The 18,756-nt window shown below is 41.7% G+C and overlaps 1 pseudogene, besides 2 other annotated features; it reads right to left on the bottom strand.

The window, feature by feature from the left end:
- Window positions 2,120-2,619: an enhancer, noted in NCBI's record as "NANOG-H3K4me1 hESC enhancer chr10:22569197-22569696 (GRCh37/hg19 assembly coordinates)". NCBI's record gives its function as "activates a minimal SCP1, AML or CMV promoter by ChIP-STARR-seq in naive H9 embryonic stem cells {active_cell/tissue: H9 hESC(naive)}" and the evidence as "EXISTENCE:reporter gene assay evidence [ECO:0000049][PMID:30033119]".
- Window positions 2,620-3,121: an enhancer, noted in NCBI's record as "NANOG-H3K4me1 hESC enhancer chr10:22568695-22569196 (GRCh37/hg19 assembly coordinates)". NCBI's record gives its function as "activates a minimal SCP1, AML or CMV promoter by ChIP-STARR-seq in naive H9 embryonic stem cells {active_cell/tissue: H9 hESC(naive)}" and the evidence as "EXISTENCE:reporter gene assay evidence [ECO:0000049][PMID:30033119]".
- Window positions 15,682-15,897, bottom strand: RPL31P45 (ribosomal protein L31 pseudogene 45; annotated as a pseudogene).

Here is an 18,756-nt window from a genome sequence, read left to right as displayed (position 1 = left end):
ACCCCGGAGGCAGAGGTTGCAGTGAGCCGAGATTGCACCACTGCACTCTAGCGTGGGTGACACAGTGAAACTCCATCTCAAAAAAAAAAAAAAAAGAGTCCTTGAATTTAGTCTCACAAGAATCTGTTTTCTGATCGTGGATACACCAATTGCTAGCTATGAAATCTCAAATAAATCGTTTACTGTCTTTGAATCTTACTTTCCTCATATTTCCTAATGAGGCCAACTCCTATTCTGGTTTCTTTTTAGTGTGGTCACTGTTGTAAATAAGTTGACTATGTAAAAGTTCTTTGAAAATCAAACTGTGCTGGCCGGGCGCGGTGGCTCATGCCTGTAATCCCAGCACTTTGGGAGGCTGAGGTGGGTGGGTCGCCTGAGGTCAGGAAACCAGCCTGGCTAACATGGTGAACATGGTGAAACCCCAGTTTCTACCAAAACAAATAGAAAAAATTAGCCGGGTGTGGTGGCAAGCGGCTAATCCCAGCTACTCGGGAAGCTGAGGCAAGGAGAATTGCTTGAACCCAGGAAGCAGAGGTTGCAGTGAGCCGAGGTCACACCACTGCACTCCAGCCTGGGCGACAGAGTGAGACTCCGTCTCAGAAAAAAGAAAGAAAGAAAATCAAACTGTGCTTCAGGAGGCATTATTTACATCCCTAGAAAAAAATCATCCTTATACATTTGTGGGGAATTACTTTCCTTGGTATTTGAAAAAGAAAAAATCTTGTTATCTTTTTATTTTAATTTTTATTTTAGATTCAGGGGTACATGTGTAGGCTTGTTATATAGGTAAATTGCATGTCACAGGGGTTTGGTGTATGGATTATTTCATCACCCAGGTAATAAAAGCATAGTTAGTACCTGATGGATAGTTTTTGGATCCTCACTGTCCTCCCTCCGTCCATCCTCAAGTAGACCCCAGTGTCTGTTGTTCCCTTCTCTGTGTCCCTATGTACTCAGTGTTTAGCTCGCACTTATAAGTGAAATCATGCAGCATTTGGTTTTCTGTTCCTTTAACTTTTAAGTTAAATGTTGGGTACAAATGTAGAAGGTTTTTTTTTTTTTTCTCTTGTTTTTTCTTGAGACAGAGTCTCACTCTGTCACCCAGGCTGGAATGCAGTGGTGCGATCTTGGCTCACTGCAACCTCCACCTCCTGGGTTCAAGCAATTCTCCTGCCTCAGCTTTTCAAGTAGCTGGCATTACAGGCGCCCACCGCCATGCCCAGCTAATTTTTGTATTTTTAGTAGAGTCGGGGTTTCACCATGTTGGCCAGGCTGGTCTCGAACTCCTGACCTCAAGTGGTCCACGCCTCAGCCTCCCAAAGTGCTGGAATTACAGGCGTGAGCCACTGCGCCCGGCCTGTAGAAGGCTTTGAATGCAAGATTGGAAGTTTGGATTTTGTCACAGTGGCAGTAGTAGTTATTTACAGATTTTCAGCTGGGGAGTGACATGCTACTTGGTTATTTCATTCAATTTATATAGTCTTTTCACTTTTAAAATACGTAAATGGTTTAAGCTTAACCAGGAAATTGCCATTTCATGATGAGTTTCATAGGACTATCGTCGTTGTCATCATCATCATCTGTTATTTTGTGCCAAGCACCATTCTGTAGTTTAAGAATATTTACTCATTTAATCCTCACACAACCCCACATATAATTACTATTGTAATTATTATTATAATTATTATTCCTATTTTATGAAGACTCTAGGCACAGAGAAGTTAAGTGCTTTTCCTTAGCTTACACAGCCAATAACCAGAGAAGCTGGGATTTGAACACAAGCTTCAGTCTGTGCTCTTCAACAAATATTCAACTAGATTCAATAAGTATTTATTGAATATCTACAATATGACACAACTCTGCTAGATGATGGAGCCAAAAAGAAGGAAAATGGCCAGGCATGGTGGCTCACACCTATAATCCTAGCCCTTTTGGAGGCTGAGGAGGCAGGATCGCTTGAGCCCAGGTGTTTGAGGCTGCAACGAGCTGTGATTGTACCACTGCACTCCAGGAACCTGGGTGACAGAGCGAGATCCTGTCTCGAAAAAAAAAAAAAAAAAAAAAAAGGAAAAGGTATAGTGACTGCTCTTAGGGAGTCTATCCTTCATGAAAACATCCTTGTTAATTATATTTTTCCCCTAGTTAGTCATAAATAATCACTGTTTACTTATTTATTAATTTAACATTAATCTATTGAGTACTTACTTTATGCCAAGCTTTGTTCTAGGTGTTTAAAGCCAACAAAATTATCTGCCTTCATGGAACTTACCTGCTAGTGAGGGGAGACAGACAATAAACAAATAAATAAGTAAAATATATATTGGAAGATGAGAAGTGCGATAGATAAAAGTAAAGAAGGGATGGAAGATAGTGCTGGGGTGAAAGTGGGAGTTGCAATTTTAAATAAGCTAGTCAGGTAAAGACTCATTGAGAAGGTGACTTTTAGTCCAAGACCTGAAGATATCTAGGAAGACACCTGGAGAAGAGTATTCCTGGTAGAGAAGCGACAATGGCAAAGATCTCCAGGAATGAGTACACCTGGAGTGTTGGAAGAATAGCAAGGAAGCCCCTGTGGCCAGAGCAGAGGCACAGCACAGCGGGGGACAAGGCAGAGCACAGCGGGGGACCAGGCAGAGCACAGCGGGGGACCAGTCGAGGACTTTTGAGACAGCCACGAAGACTTTGACTCTATCCCAGATGGGAATACACTGGAAGGGTTTGAGCAGAGGAGATTTTCAAAGGATCCTCTTGGATGCTCTATTCAAAGTAGACATTAGGTATAAGGGTTGGAGGAGAGGCTGAAGTAGGAAAGCCAGTTAGGAGACTATTGCAAGAATCTAGGGGAGCGATTATGGCAGTGTACGTCATGATGGAGGTGGTAAGAAGGGATTGGTGTCTGCATAGGTTATAAAGGTAGAACCAATAAGACCTCCTCACAGGTTACATGTGGGGGTGCAGGAGAAGAGAGAAGAGCCAAGGATGACACCAAGGCTTTGGACCTGAGCAATTTGGAAGGAGGGAGTTACCATTTATTGAGATGGGGAAGAGAGTGGGATTTACAGTTTTTATCTGGGGGAAAAATCAGAAGTTCCATTTGGGACACAGTAAATTTGAGATGCCCGCTAGATATTCATGCCATGCTGTATAGGCAGGGATATATTTGAGACTGCAGTTCAGGGAGGAGGTGTGAGCTATAGGTATAACATTGGGAGCTGTCAATACAGAGGAAGTTTGTCAAGCCTAGAGATTACTTGAGAACGACCTAGGAAAGAGACCAATTCAAAGACTGAGCCTTGGGGTGCATCAACATGTAGACTTAAAGGAAAAAAGCATCAGGAAGAAAATTAGTGGAAAATCACTGCCATGTTTGGAAGGAGCACAGGAGGATCTTGTCGCATTTTTAAACTAGATTCATCAGTTTCCCAAGACCATATTCTCTTTGTTTACTGAAAACTTGGCAGCCGTGTGTAAAGTGGCATTGTTTCTTTTCACAAACAAATTAGAGCCCATTTAGTACTGTGTTTGAGTGCTATTAAATATTTAGGTAATCAGTTGTAGGACTAATTGACCTTTGGGGATGTCTTTGTAGCCCCTTCTAGAATGTCAAGTGTTTTGTTTTTAAATAATAAAAAATTGTTCCTTGAGAGTATGCAAATCAAATTCTCAGTCCAGTTAATTACATATTAGTGTTTCGTTAAGTAAATCTGCTTAAGGCGAAATTGCTCTACAGTCAGTTTTAGCGAGTAACCAACTGATATTCGGGGTCATAGAAGGTCTTTAATGCAGGAATAATGTGAATCAAGGGAAATGTCTGTGAATTATATGGTAAGAGTTGTCTTTTCTCTTTGCATGGAGGTTTTCCAGCTAATTGAGTTCATTACTTGTCCCATTAAAGGAGATTAAGTATGTCAACACTGTAGCTGGATAATAGAAGGTCTGTAGCAAAAGTACAGCTCATGCTAAAGTTCAAATCTTTATTTCTAGGGAACAAGATATAGAGATAACAAAGGGAATGAGGAAAAGGAGGTTTCAGCATTCCAGACCGAATATGAAAAGAGGCTCGGCAGGCGACAGGGCATAGCCAAGAATGAAAAAGGTGGGGGAAATCTCACAAGATATTCTCCACTTCTTCAGGTCTGTCCCTCTGTTAGATACATTTCTGTTCTCCTCTCTTCCCCATCTTAGTAACCTCATAACACATTCACCATGAGGCGGGAAAATAGGGTCTGGATGCAGGAAAGCTAAGGCCAGATTCACACTTCAGCTATAACAGGAAATATCCTCTCCATAGGGCATACAATCAGGAAATGTCTTTGTAACTTCACTTCATCCTCTTCATTTACATAGGGTGTACCCTAAGTAGAGGGAATTTAAATTCACAAAAACTGTAACAGGGCCTTTGTGCCCCTATGCTCACTCCCGCTGCCCGCTCGAACACTGTGGAGTGTACGTTCTTTTTTGTTTGTTTGTTTGAGATGGAGTCTCGCTCTGTCGCCCAGGCTGGAGCGCAGTGGCACTATGTCGGCTCACTGCAAGCTCCGCCTCCCGGGTTCACGCCATTCTCCTGCCTCAGCCTCCCGAGTAGGTGGGACTACAGGCGCCCGCCACCACGCCCGGCTAATTTTTTTGTATGTTTAGTAGAGACGGGGTTTCACCATGTTAGCCAGGATGGTCTCGATCTCCTGACCCCGTCATCCGCCCACCTCGGCCTCCCAAAGTGCTGGGATTACTGGCGTGAGCCACGTCGCCCGGCCGGAGTGTACTTTCATTTTCAGTAATCCCTTCATTCCTTCCTTGTTTTGTTTGTGCGTTTTGACGAATTCTTTGTTCAAGATGCCAAGAACCTGGACACCCTCCACCGTTAACAACCATGCTATCCCACCTGAGTAACTCTGTTATTTTACTAGCCAGAATATTCCTGCTAAGGAGCTATACCAAGGACACACATGTATTGTGCATCGTAGCCAGACGTTGCCTTCCTGCTGCAGTCTGTATACATATGAGCCAGGTGTGGCAGACACTGCTATTGGCTCCCAAATCCATTCTCTCCCTTTCTCTACAGTAACTCTGGAATTTTAGCAGACACAGACCACACAGAATAAACATTACTTTTTCCAGGCTCTTTTGCCATTCCATTCTGACAACATACCCATTTTGAGATTTACAAAAAGTTTTGCCTCTTCCATGAAACCTGATCCGAATCCTGTATCTGAAAGGTGATTTTATTCTTCTGTGAATGATCACAGGATTTTACCTGCACCTCTGTTATGACATTTATAAAAATGTCTGATACACATTCCTTAACACTTTTTTTTGAGACACAGTCTTGCCCTGTCGCCGAGGCTGAAGTGCAGTGGTGTACGTATAGCTCACTGCAGCCTTGAACTCCTGGCTCACGTAACCCTCCTGTCTCAGCTGCCTGAGTAGCTGGGACTACAGGCGTGGAATCCCATACCCAGCTAATTTTTAATTTTTTAAAATTTTATTTTGTAAAGTTAGGATCTCTCTGTGCTCCTCAGTTTGATCTTAGACTCCTGGCCTCCTTCACTTTGGCCTCCCAAAGTTCTGGGATTACAGGCGTGAGCCACTGCACCAAGCCACATTCCTTAACACTTCTATCTTGTAAGCTCCTTGGACACATGAACTGGATTTGGTTTATGTTCCATAGCCTCATATCAAGTACTTTGCAAGTAGAAGGCACTCAATCAACATTTTTTGCGTATGGCATTGTGGAAATAGGTCCTTTGTTACACTCTTCCCACTTGTTTTGGACTTCGCTCTCCTTCTAATGTTTTATTTTCAAATCTTTATTATTATTGTTTTTTGAGATGGAGTCTGGCTCTGTTGCACAGTCACGCAATCTCTGCTCACTGCAACCTCCGCTTCCCGGGTTCAAGTGATTCTCCTGCCTCAGCCTCCCAAGTAGCTGGGATTACAGGCACCTGCCACCATGCCTGGCTAATTTTTGTAGTTTTAGTAGAGATGGGGTTTCACCATGTTGGCCAGGCTGGTCTCGAACTCCTGACCTCATATGATCTGCCCACCTCAGCCTCCCAAAGTGCTAGGATTACAGGCGTGAGCCACCGCACCCAGCCATCTTTATTCTTTTGGAAGGAATAAAGACAATGTAATTGAACTTGAGAAAACAGAAATTAAGTGATTCTACTTTTATTTTTCTGTCTTCTTTAACATCTTTGCCAAATAAGAGGCTCCTAATTATTTCATTAGTTACACTTCTATTTAAGACAATGGTGGAAAGCTTCCTTAAAATATACTCTCACTGTTACTCTTTTGCTTGAGAACCTGTGGTGGGCCTCTACTCCTTTCTGTGTCAAATCTGAATTCCTCTGTGTCGTTTTTCAGTGAATTCCTCCTGTGGCTATCGAAATGTAACTTCTCCCACTCCCAAGAAGAACCTTCAATCCTATCCCGTTAGACTCCTCACTGCATGGGAGTGAGCCCTGTTAACTCCCACTCCTGTTATTTTGTTTTTTCTCTTCCTCCAGCTGATACCACCTTTTTGCTCTAAGTTTCTTGTGGAAATCCTATTCATCTCTTAAGTGCCTACTTGAAATTCACCCTCTCCTTGTAATTTTATGGTAGAACATTGGCACTTATTAATTGCTTTCTTTCTGAAACTGCATTTATAATTTACAATGCTTTTCGTAACTTAATTTCATTTAAAATGATCTCTGCTGTTTAATTGTTTGTACCTAACTAAATTATAAGCTGTTTGAATTCAGGAATATATATTTATATACTGATATTTAATTATGGTTAGTTATAGTTACATAATCACCAAATAGCAGCCTAGTCAAGGGCTGGGTACATAATAGATATTCAGTAGGTACTTATTGATGGATGGATTGGTTGGGTGCAGAAGTATATTCTTTAACTCTGAGTGAAATATAAACTAATTTGTTTTTAAAATTTTGTTTAGGTAACATATACATCTAATTTTATTTTTCATATCATTTTGAAATGAACTGAATGCCTATTGTCTACCTATATCACTCAATTTTATTTTTATTTTTATTTTTATTTATTTATTTATTTTAAGACAGAGTCTCACTCTGTCACCCAGGCTGGAGTCCAGAGGCACGATCTTGGCTCACTGCACCCTCCACCTCCTGGGTTCAAATGATTCTCGTGCCTCAGCCTCCTGAGTAGCTGGGTTTACAGGCGCCTGCCACCACCCCGGCTAATTTTTGTGTGTTCAGTAGAAATAGGGTTTCACCATGTTGGCCAGGCTGGTCTCTAACTCTGGACCTCAGGTTATCTCCCCGCCTCGGCCTCCCGAAGTGCTGGGGTTATAGGCGTGAGCCACTGCACCTGGCCAATTTTAAAGTGATTTCTGGGGATATGATCCCTCTGCAATGAAAATAAAAACAAAACCATACTTTGATAACTCTTTCTTGAAAATTCACTTAACATACAAAATCAGCTTAAAATTAGAAATTGAAGACAATTTGATAAACTTAATTTTACACTATTTAGAAAAGCCTGGTAATCCGCTTTTGTCAGAAATGAAGCCTTTTTTGAATTATAGATTTTGTCAACATATTTTATTGAATAATAATGTCAAGTTTTTTAGAAAATAAAACCAGATAAATTATGAAGAAGGCTATGCAAGACTCAATTACAATGTAAAGAAATGCATCTTCACTAAGACAGTTTCTCTCAGTGCTAAGTTGATAAATATTGATGGGTAGCAATCCTTTGGAGACTACTGTATGCTGCAAGCATAGGTGCTCCTGAATAAAATACTTACAGAGTCCAAGAAGTTTATCTGAAGTGTAAAAACACTATTTATTTATTTATTTATTTTTGAGCAGGGTCTCGCTCCCGTCACTCAGGTCGGAGTGCAATGGCATGATCACAGCTCACTGCAACCTTGACCTCCAGGGGCTCAAGTGATCCTCCCATTTCAGCTTCCCCACTAGCTGGGACTACAGGCACGTGCCACCATGTCCAGCTATTTTTTTTTTTTTTGGTATTTTTTTAGAGATGAGATTTGGCCATGTTGCCCATGCTGGTCTTGAACTCCTGGGCTCAAGCCATCCACCTGCCTCAGCCTCCCAAAGTGCTGGGATTACAGGCATGAGCCACCATGCCCAGCCTAAAAACATTTTTATGTGGAATCTAATTTATATGTAAGAAATAGTTATAAGCCCTTTTAATAGATAATTGAAAGGTGAAAATAGGCCAGATGAAACAGCCTGGACAGAAACCTCGTCTCTACTAAAAATATAAAAATTAGCTGGGTGTGTTGATGGGTGCCTGTAATCCCAGCTACGTGGGAGGCCGAGGCAGGAGAATTGCTTGAACCTGGGAGGCAGAGGCTGTAGTGAGCCGAGATTACGACACTGCACTCCAGCCTGGGCGATAGAGTGAGAATCCATCTCAAAAAAAAAAAAAAAAAAGAAAGGTGAAAGTGAAAATACATTTATGGTAACAATTATAGCAAACTCAAAACTCACAAGATGTAAATTAATGAGGCTTCACATGACTGGATATTAACAGCAATAAAAGTGTTCAACATGTAATTCTTTTTGTTTTTCCAAATAGTATTGTAAAACTTTCATAGCTTTTATACAAGATGACTATCTAATTAGGTGACATAAGGAAGAGAATATTTTCCTTTCCTGTGAAAGTCAAAACTAAGTCTAAATTTCTATTATCATCATAAAAATATTATTATAAAAATGGCAAATTTTTATCAGCCTGGAAAAGCCTTAGTTCAGGTTTGATTTCTGGAGCTCACAGATGAAGCTGGAAAAGCTTACCGTGTTCTAGGTGCAGCATTAGGTTCTGGAGTTGCAACATGTTTATAACATTTACAATACTGTTAAGAATTTCACAATTGGAAAAAATTATGCTAACAAATTTTCTGCAATAGGAAAAAGAAAAGAATTATTTTTTTGACTTTAGGATTCATGGGTTAAACTTACATGTCAGTTGATAATAATGACTAACTGATTAATTAGAAAAAATTCAGAAGCGTGTATAATTTTCACCTTATAATAAATCAAGAGCTGGCTGGGCGCAGTGGCTCACGCCTGTATTCCCAGCACTTTGGAAGGCCAAGGCGGGCAGATCATGAGGTCAGGAGATCGAGACCATCCTGGCCAAAAAGGTGAAACCCCGTCTCTACTAAAAATACAAAAATTAGCTAGGCGTGGCGGCACATGCCTGTAATCCCAGCTACTTGGGAGGCAGAGGCGGGAGAATCGCTTCAACCAAGGAGTTGGAGGTTGCAGTGAGCTGAGATCGTGCCACTCACTCCAGCCTGGCATGAGTGGCACTATTAAAAAAAAATGTCAAGGGCAAACGTCTTATAGTCCCTTATACGGACTCATACATCCACACTTATGAATGAGATTCATGCTATTCCAGATCAGAATTTTAAGGTTTTTGGTCATGGTCATTAATAAACTTGCAGAACAAAAGATTACTTATTCTGATAATGTCATTGTAAGTTATAGAGACTGAGTTTCCAAGCATGAAAATATGTGACATTCCAAAATGATTTAAAATTTGGAAACATCACCATTTCATTTTAACCACTAGGTTTAAAGTGTATATTTCTCTTATCTTTAAAACAGCTAATTTAAAATACCTTTAAAAGGATTAATAGTATTATCTAAGACCGTAACACTCCTGTTCTCAAATTTATCTTAAATATATGTTTCTGAGATTGTTCTGAAGGAGTCTCTGCCTTGATACTTGTCATACTGATTTCAGAAATTAGACATAAAATAGAAGTATGAGAGACACCCAATTGTATCCAGGAATTGACACCCTACAGTTATTTTAAAGTGCTCTTTGCTTATTTCTTATATAGTGCAAGCTATATTGGGACCCAATATAGCTTAGACCTACATTTGAACTGTGTGAGGAGATAATGGGTCTGGGTGCAATGGGGCTGGGTGCAATGGCTCATATCTGTAATCCCAGCGATTTGGGAGGCCAAGGCGGAAGAATAGTTCAAGGCCAGGAGTTCTAGACCAGCCTGGGCAAATAGTGAGACCCTGTCTTTACAGAAACAAACAAACAAACAAACAAACAAACAAAAAAAAAGGAGGGTGGGCGGGATAGAATGTAATATTTGTGAAGAAATTTACTAGTGTTGTGATGTAACTGTGAATTGAAAATATTTTAAATTTTACTTATCTTTCCAGTCTTGTCTTCTAGTTAAAGGGTTCTTTCATTAGCTAAGATTTATCTTTGAAGTCTATCGAATTTTTATTTTATTTTATTTTTAGCAAGACTCTGTTGCCCAGGCTAGAGTGCAGTGGTGCAATCTTGGCTTGATACAACCTCTGCCTCCAGGTTCAAACGATTCTCCTGCCTCAGCCTCCCAAGTAGCTGGGATTACAGGCATGTGCCACCACGCCTGGCTAATTTTTGTATTTTTAGTAGAGATGGGGTTTCACCTTGTGGCCAGGCTGGTCTCCAACTCTTGACCTCAGCTTGGCCTCCCAAAGTGCTGGGATTACAGGTGTGAGCCACTGTGCCTGGCTCTAATCTTTTAATCATTTCATTAAAGAGAAAAAGCCAACACTAACAAATGGAAACCTAGAACTTAGGGATGAAACTAAGACATTCCTCTCTTTTTAGCATATTAAAGCATGTGGGGGGCCAGGTGCAGTGGCTCATGCCTGTAATCCCATCACTTTGGGAGGCTGAGGCAAGAGGATCGCTTGAGCCCACGAGTTGGGAGCTGCCGTGAGTGAGCTATGACTGAGCCACCGCACTCCAGCTTGGGCGACAGAGGGAGACCCTGTTTCAATAAAAAGAGCATGTGTGGTAGGCAACCTCTAGGATGGCTCCCTGTAACCCTCATCTTCTGGTAGTCATGCCTTTGCAAAATCCCCTGAGTCGGGGCAGGACTTTGTGACTCAGTTCCAATGACTAAAACAGAGTAGAAGCCATGAAGCATCCCTTCAGAGACTGGTTTACAAGACTGCTGCTTCCTTCCCTTTGGCTGCCCAGTCTCTGGCTGCCCCGTCTCTGGCTGCCTCAAGGATCACTCAGAGGAAAACCAGCCTCCATGTTGTGAGCTGCCCTATGGAGAGGCCTGTGCTGTAAGGAACTCAGGGAAGTCTTCCTCTTTGATTAGTTTGGGGCCCAATCCAGCATCCCATAAGTAATGGAGGCCTCCCACCACCTGCACGAGGGAGTCATTGAGCACCAGTAGACCCTTGAAATAGACTTGGCCATCAGCTTGACTGTAACCTCATGGAAGATTCTGGGCCAGAACTGCCCTCCTGGTTATGCAGCCCCCAGAGTCCCCAGTCTCAAAAGCTGGGAGATAAAGAATGTCGTTTTAAGCTGCTGCAGTTTGGAGGTAACTTGTTTTGCAGCAGTAGATAAACAATATAGAACATAATTTCTAATACTTTCATAACTAAAACCCATTGAATGGAAGCCCAGAAAACCCAGTTTTAGACCATGTTCTAATCAATAACTGGTAATGTTATATAATGTATAGAGTAGGAGTTCACCAAAACTCAGACGTAGCTCTTTTTTTTTTTTTTTTTTAAGACAGGGTCTTACTCTGTCACCCAGGCTGCTGGAGTGCAGTGGCACCATCAGGGCTCACTGCAGCCTCAAACTCCTGGGCTCAAGTGATCCTTCTGCCTCAGCCTCTCAGGTAGTTGGGACTACAGAAGTGTGCACGCCACCATGCCTGGCTAACATTTTTATTTTTATTTTTGGTAGAGGTGGGGTTTCGCTATGTTGCCCAGGCTGGTTTCAAACTCCTGGTCTCAAACAATCCTCCCACCTTGGTCGCTCAAAGTGTTGGGATTACAGGCATGAGCCACTGCACCAGCCAGCATCTTATGTTTCTTAATGTGAGATTTCATTTTCCAGAAGTCAGTAAAGATCTAAGCTCTGATGTCAGACTGCCTGGGCTTCAATCTTGAGTCTGCTAGTTACTGAGTGTGCACAGGTGCATGAATCTTTTCTCCAAAACTTATTTTTTCATCTTTAAATGAAGGTAATCGTAGTACTGTTGTAAGAACTGAATGAAGTAATTCAGTAATTTAAAGTGCCTGGTATCTAGTACACATTTAACAATGACAAATTATTATCATCATCATTATTATCAACATCAGGTCAGAGAAGGGACTGACAGCTTTTATTCTTGATATTTTTCTTCTCAGCTTGCAAAAGAGCCCTTCACTCTTTAGAAAATAAAAATACAACCAGTTTGCTTTTTTTTTTTTTTTTTGAGATGGAGTCTTGCTCTGTCGCCCAGGCTGGAATGAAGTGGTGTGAATTCGGCTCACTGCAACCTCCACCTCCTGGGTTCAAGTGATTCTCCTGCCTCAGCCTCCCGAGTAGCTGGAATTACAGAAGTGTGCCCCCATGCTCCACTAATTTTTGTATTTTTAATAGAGATGGGGTTTCACCATGTTGGCCAAGCTGGTCTTGAACTCCTGACCTCAAGAGATCTGCCTGCCTTGGCCTCCCAAAGTGCTGGGATTACAGCTGTGAGCCACTGCACCCGGCTAGTCTCCTATTCTACAGGGAACTATGACTAAGAGTTGTTTCAAATTTTAACTTAATAGTGAGCTCTATTTAGAAAGCATTTTTATTCTTTAAAAGAATATTTTGATTTACACATTTCTCATTTAAGCTATGATGAAGTTTTCATAAATTTGACGTGGGACAAAAATGCAAGTAGTAGGATTACCAACTTGCATGATACTTTTTAGGTACTTTTTAGGAAACCTGAATATTGATAAGACATAAATTGTGTCCATAAATTAATACTTTCTTCCCCAAATACAGCAAAACTATTTATGCAAGTATATTGTTTCCTTCAGAATAATAGCTTTCATTCATTCAACAAATATGTATCTAGCTCCTCCTGTGTTCCAGGGACTCTTTTGGGTGCTAGAGATGTAGTGATAAACATAACACAATCCTTGCTTTTAAGGAACTTACAGTTGGAGCCAGAAGAGTACACAGACAACTTCAGGACAGCTTAAGGAGTACAACCGAGTATGGGATACAATGAGGTACCCAAAAAATAGGGGTGAAAGAAGGTTCCCTGGTGGAGGTGAAGATCATGGGCCTCAGTCGTTAGGCAAGAAAAGTGGACAGAGGAGGTAGGTTACAGTTCTGGGGTTACTGTGTAGATATCTGGAGGCAAAAGAGTGTGAGGCGTATTTATGGAGCCACATGTAATTCAGTATGGTCCCATCTTGTAGGGCAGTGAGGAGTGACCAGAGATGCAGCTAGGGAGAAGAACAGGGTTCAGATAATAAAAAATCGTGTATGCCACACCAAGGGTTTTGGATTTTATTTTATTAGTATTATTTTCGAGATGAAGTCTTGCTGTGCCATCCAGGCTGGAGTGCAGTGGCGTGATCTCAGCTCACTGCAACCTCCACCTCCTGGCTTCAGACGATTCTCCTGTCTCAGCGTCCCGAGTAGCTGGGATTACAGGCATGCCCGGCTAATTTTTGTCGTTTTAGTAGAGATGCGGTTTCACCATGTTGGCGAGGCTGGTCTCAAACTGGCTGGTCTCGAACTCCTGACCTCATGATCCGCCTGCCTCAGCCTCCCAAACTGCTGGGATTACAGGCGTGAGCCACCATGCCCGGCCGGGTTTTGGAATTTATTGTGAATGCGTTGGAGAAGCAAGGACTGATTTTAAGGAGGGAAGTCTCCAACAGGTTACTCCCTTATTCAATAATTCTCCTTTACTCAAAATTGAGATTTTCTCATTTTAAGAGAATGCCTCTTAAATGGCCTTCAGCTCACTCTTTTGAATGGACTCAATGCTAATAAATGCGTTTGAGAATGAACTTGAACTGGGAGTGGAATGGGAAGCAGAAACCTTTTAGAGGAACTGTGTTTAGTAAACAAACTTGATGAAGCAGGTTAATTACTATTTGGGGTAAAAATTTTGCTCTGATTAGAAAGCCATGAGGCTGAATCATTGCGTCTTATTGCATTTCATAAAACAGACATTTCTGTGCTTTTGAATTTGTTAATTGGATGGCCAATCACATTTTTAACTGGCTTGACAACAGCAGAATCCTTCAAATGCTGTAAAGGAATCTCATCTAGTTTTAAAAATATGGCAGCCTGGGAAGCTTCTGGTTGGGGCCAGGACGCTGCAGTCAGAGCAGGGCTGTGTGCAACCACTGCCTGCTGCCCACACATCGCTCCACAGTCTAGTTTGTGGTCCCACTCTAAATCATCTCAGAAATCACTGCTGTCATTTGGGTGTGGGTTTCTCACCTGGCAGTGCTGTCTACCAGTGTTTGGAACATTTCTATATGCATTTATCTTCTTTAAAGTGTTGGTGCAAACATGTCCAGTTAAATTCTGTGATGTGTGGAGTCTTTCTCACTATAGTAATATGGTTTAAGGCCAATACTGACCATCTTTTACACTCATCCTGTTCATAGTTTATGGCAAGCATATGGAGGAAAGTCTGTATTTTTTTGTTTTTGTTTTTTGTTCTTTTTGAGAAAGAAAGTAGAGATTCATGTTTGAGACCAACTTAAAATATTCTACTAACATTATTTTATAGCCATAAAGTGTCTATTCCCCAATTTTTATTTATGATATGTAGCATTAGTGATAGTTTTTCTAATTTGGGAGCTCAGATGTCTTTACTTTTTGTGGTTTTATAATTTTATTTCATGTATTTGACGATCACTGCTTAGTTCTCATCCATATTGACTATAATTTTTTTTTTCTTGAGACAGGATATGGCTCTGTCGCCCAGGCTGGAGTGCAGTGATGCCATCTCGGCTCACTGCAGGCTTGACCTCCCAATCTCAAACAATTCTCTCACTTTAGCCTCCAGAGTAGCTGGGACCACAGGCGTGTGCCACCATGCCCAGCTAATTGTGTGTGTGTGTGTGTGTGTGTGTTTGGTTATTTTTTTTGAGACGGAGTCTTGCTCTGTCACCCAGGCTGGAGTGCAGTGGTGTGATCTTGGCTTGCTGCAACCCCCATCTCCTGGGTTAAAGCGATTCTTCTGCCTCAGCCTCCCGAGTAGCTGGGATTACAGATGTATGCCACCACACCCAACTAATTTTTGTACTTTTAGTAGAGATGGGGTTTCACCATGTTGGCCAGGCCGGTCTAGAACTCCTGACCTCAGGTGATGCACCCGCCTTGGCCTCCCACAGTGCTGGGATTACAGGCGTGAGCCACCACACCTGGGTTTTTTTTTTTTTTTTGAGATGGAGTCTCACTCTGTTGCCCAGGCTGGAGTGCAGTGGCACAATCTCGGTTCACTGCAACCTCCACCTCCCAGGTTCAAGCAACTCTATTGCCTCAGCCTCCCAAGTAGCTGGGATTAAAGGCGTGGGCCACCATGCCCAGCTAATTTTTCTGTATTTTTAGTAGAGATGGGGTTTCACCATGCCCGGCATTTTTTGTGTTTTTTTTGTAGAGGCAAGGTTTCACCATGTTGCCCAGGCTGGTCTCAAACTCTTGAGCTCAAGTGATCCGCCTGCCTCAACCTCCCAAAGTGCTAGGATTATAGGCATGACCACCGTATCCTGCCTGTCTGTAGATTTTTGAAAGTGGTAACAGGTGCATAGGTAACCAAAGTATAGAACTTATTTGGTGAATCTTCATCCTCATCACGTTTTCTGGATAACCACACATGGGTGGGTATGGGACACCCTTATTCCTTCAGCCTAGACAGCTTTGTCAAGCCTGGTATCAACACGCACATCTGGAGTTCCCACCTCCTTCACAGCAAATTTCCAGATCTCTTTGAATGCCCAAGGGACACACTTCTTGAAGCCTACTCCATGGATGCATTTCTGAATGTTGATGGTGTATTCTTGGGCCACCACCTTGCTGATGGCAGAACAGCCTTTCTTCTTTCCACCCTTCTTTGCAGCAGCCATTGTGCCAGGCCCAAGTTGGAAAGGAGCCAGATGTCTTTACTTAATAGTTTTTCTCCTTTAGCAGACATAGTCTTATAATCCTATCTATTTCCAGAAAGGGTTTCTGCCATGTGGAAAAAAACATATGCAACAAAGTGAAATAAAAATAAGTAAGGGAACCAAGAAAAAGGGAAATAAGAGTAGAAAAGACAGAATCAGAAGAGAGGTTATCACACAAAATATATACAAAGAAGACTATACTTTCAGGAAAAATCCATGCATTTGCCTTAAAACTTCTTAAGAGTCAAGAGGGAAAAAAACACCATTAGTTGTAATTCTCAGTGCCTAGGTGATTTAGAGAAATCACACATACCACCACCATTACCAGCAGCAGTAGCTGTGCCCTTGGAGAAAGAAGCCTGGTAATTTGTGATTCTGAGACCAAAGAAATTTATCTTGCTTCAGGCACCACTCATCAACCATATATGCTATGAAGTGCTCTATTGTGGGTTACTTAATTTCGCAACAGTTTTTATTGAAATAGCAGGAGACAAAAGCCAAAATGTGACAAACTTAATGGAGTTAATAATGACTCAAATCATCTTACAAAGAAGACGTAAAGAAGCACCTATTTAATCACTCCACACCACCCTACCTCTGCTAATTGACATCAACAAAATAGACAGGTGTACCCTACCTTTCTCCCCACTCTGCTCCATTCCCTAGCTGCAGGGGAGCCTGGGAAAGGTAGTTTTTAGCTTCTCAGTACAGGAAGGCACAGTAGAAGAAGGCTGGGGGAGATATTGTGCAATGAGTCTACTATATCCCACCTGTATTAGTCTGTTGTTATGCTGCTGATAAACTCATAACCAAGACTAGGTAATTTATAAAGGGAAGAGGTTTAATGGACTCACAGTTCGGCATGGCTGGGGAGACCTCACAGTCATGGCAGAAGGCAAGGAGGAGCAAGTCACATCTTATATGGATGGCAACAGGCAAAGAGAGAGAACTTTTGCAGGGGAACTCCTCTTTATAAGTAAACCATCCGATCTCAGAAGACTTATTCACTATCTTGAGAACAGCATGAGAAAGACCTGACCCTATGATTCAATTACCTTCCACTGGGTACCTCCCATGACATGTGGGAATTGTGGGAGCTAAAATTCAAGATGAGATTTGGGTGGGGACACAGCCAAACCATATCACCACCCCAGTAATTTTAGTCCTTTGGATATTGGTTGGTCTAAGAATTAGTTTGGACCCAGTTCTGGCTGATGAGATGTGAGTTGGTATCTTCTGGCAAGGGCTTCCCTTCCTGAATAGACAGAAAATAACTTCTGAAGGAAATCATTCTCTGTCCTTACCCTTCTTCCTATCTGGAGCCCAAATGCAATGCCTGGCTATGTAGCAGCCACATGGAGACTGTGAGGTGACAAGTATGAGAACAAAAGTCAACACATTAAGGATAATAGGAAAGATAGAGCTGGGTCCCCGATAGCATTGTTGAGCCATTGCTCCAGACCTGGATTGACTTCCCCTGGACTATTTTTATTTGAGACGAATAAACATTTATTTGTTAAAACAGCCAGAGTTGAACTTTCTGTTTGCTGCTGGATGCATTCCTAATCTAGAGCCTATTGCAGCAGCCAGGCTAGGACAGAGGTATTAGCTGTGAAGATGCAGAGACACGGTCAGACTCAGGATATGTTTTGGAACTAGAACCATCAGGACTTGACGATGGGTTGGCTGAAAATGGGAGAGAAGGGGATGGAAGAAATCAAGGATGCCATCTATGTTTTTTGCTAGATATGACTGATGGAAATGTGTAATCTTGTTTTAATTCAGAAGGTAGGAAAATTCCTACTCTCACTGCTGCAGAAATACCTAAGGAAGATAAAAACACTTTTGTTGCTCCCTTAAAACCTGTTTTCCATTGAGCCAAAGGAAAAGTTGGGTTAAATTCATGTTAAATAATGCAGAAGACAGTTGGAAATTCCTAACATCTATTCTGGACACTGCAGCTGGAACATATAGCAGCCTCTCCATGCCTTGTCATCTCCCAAGCCTCTTTTCCATCAAAGTCCAGGTGTACAAAACTAAACTATTATGTTCTGGTTTTTACTGCTTGCAGGAATAGACTATTAGAATACTAATACTTCTAAAGAATATATTAACTTCTTGAGTCAGTAAATAATGCTCCACAGCTGGATCAAATAAGCATTTCAAATCAGAGCTATTTTTTAAAAAAGAATATCTTATTTTTTCAATGAAAAATTTTTTTTAGAGATGAGGTCTCGCTTGTAGCCCAGGCTGGAGTGCAGTGGTGCAATCACAGCTCATGGCAGCCTCGACTTCCTGGGCTGCAGCAATCCTCCTGCCTCAGCCTCCCGAATAGTTGGGACTACAGCTGTGGCTCACCACGCTTGGTATTTTACTTTATTTTTGTAGAGATGGTGGTCGGGGTGGGGGTCTCACTGTGTTTCCCAGGATGATCTAGAACTCCTGGCATCAAGCCATCCTCCCTCCTTGGTCTCCCCGAGTGCTCGAATTATAAGCATGAGCCACTGCATCTAGCCCATATCCATCTATCTATGTATCTATCTATCTATCATCTATCTATCTATATCTATATATTCTATAATATATTCTATAATCCTAGCACTTTGATATTTAAAAATATCAAGTAAAAAAGCTACATGACTGTATATATTTTGTATCTATTCTTACATTGCTAGGGCTTTACTTTTGTTGAAGAGAATAAACTAGGAATGTCAAATACATTGCCTGCTATAACCACAGTTGCTTCTAAAGAAGATGCATCACCCCCCGTACCTCCTGAAAGGGAACACATATTGCATGGCCTCGTCATCCCCTGTCCCAG

This window comes from Homo sapiens, chromosome 10 (genome assembly GCF_000001405.40).
Source record: "Homo sapiens chromosome 10, GRCh38.p14 Primary Assembly".
Lineage (NCBI taxonomy): Eukaryota > Metazoa > Chordata > Mammalia > Primates > Hominidae > Homo > Homo sapiens.
Note: the sequence above shows the minus strand (reverse complement) of the source record. Positions and strands in the feature narration are given on the sequence as shown.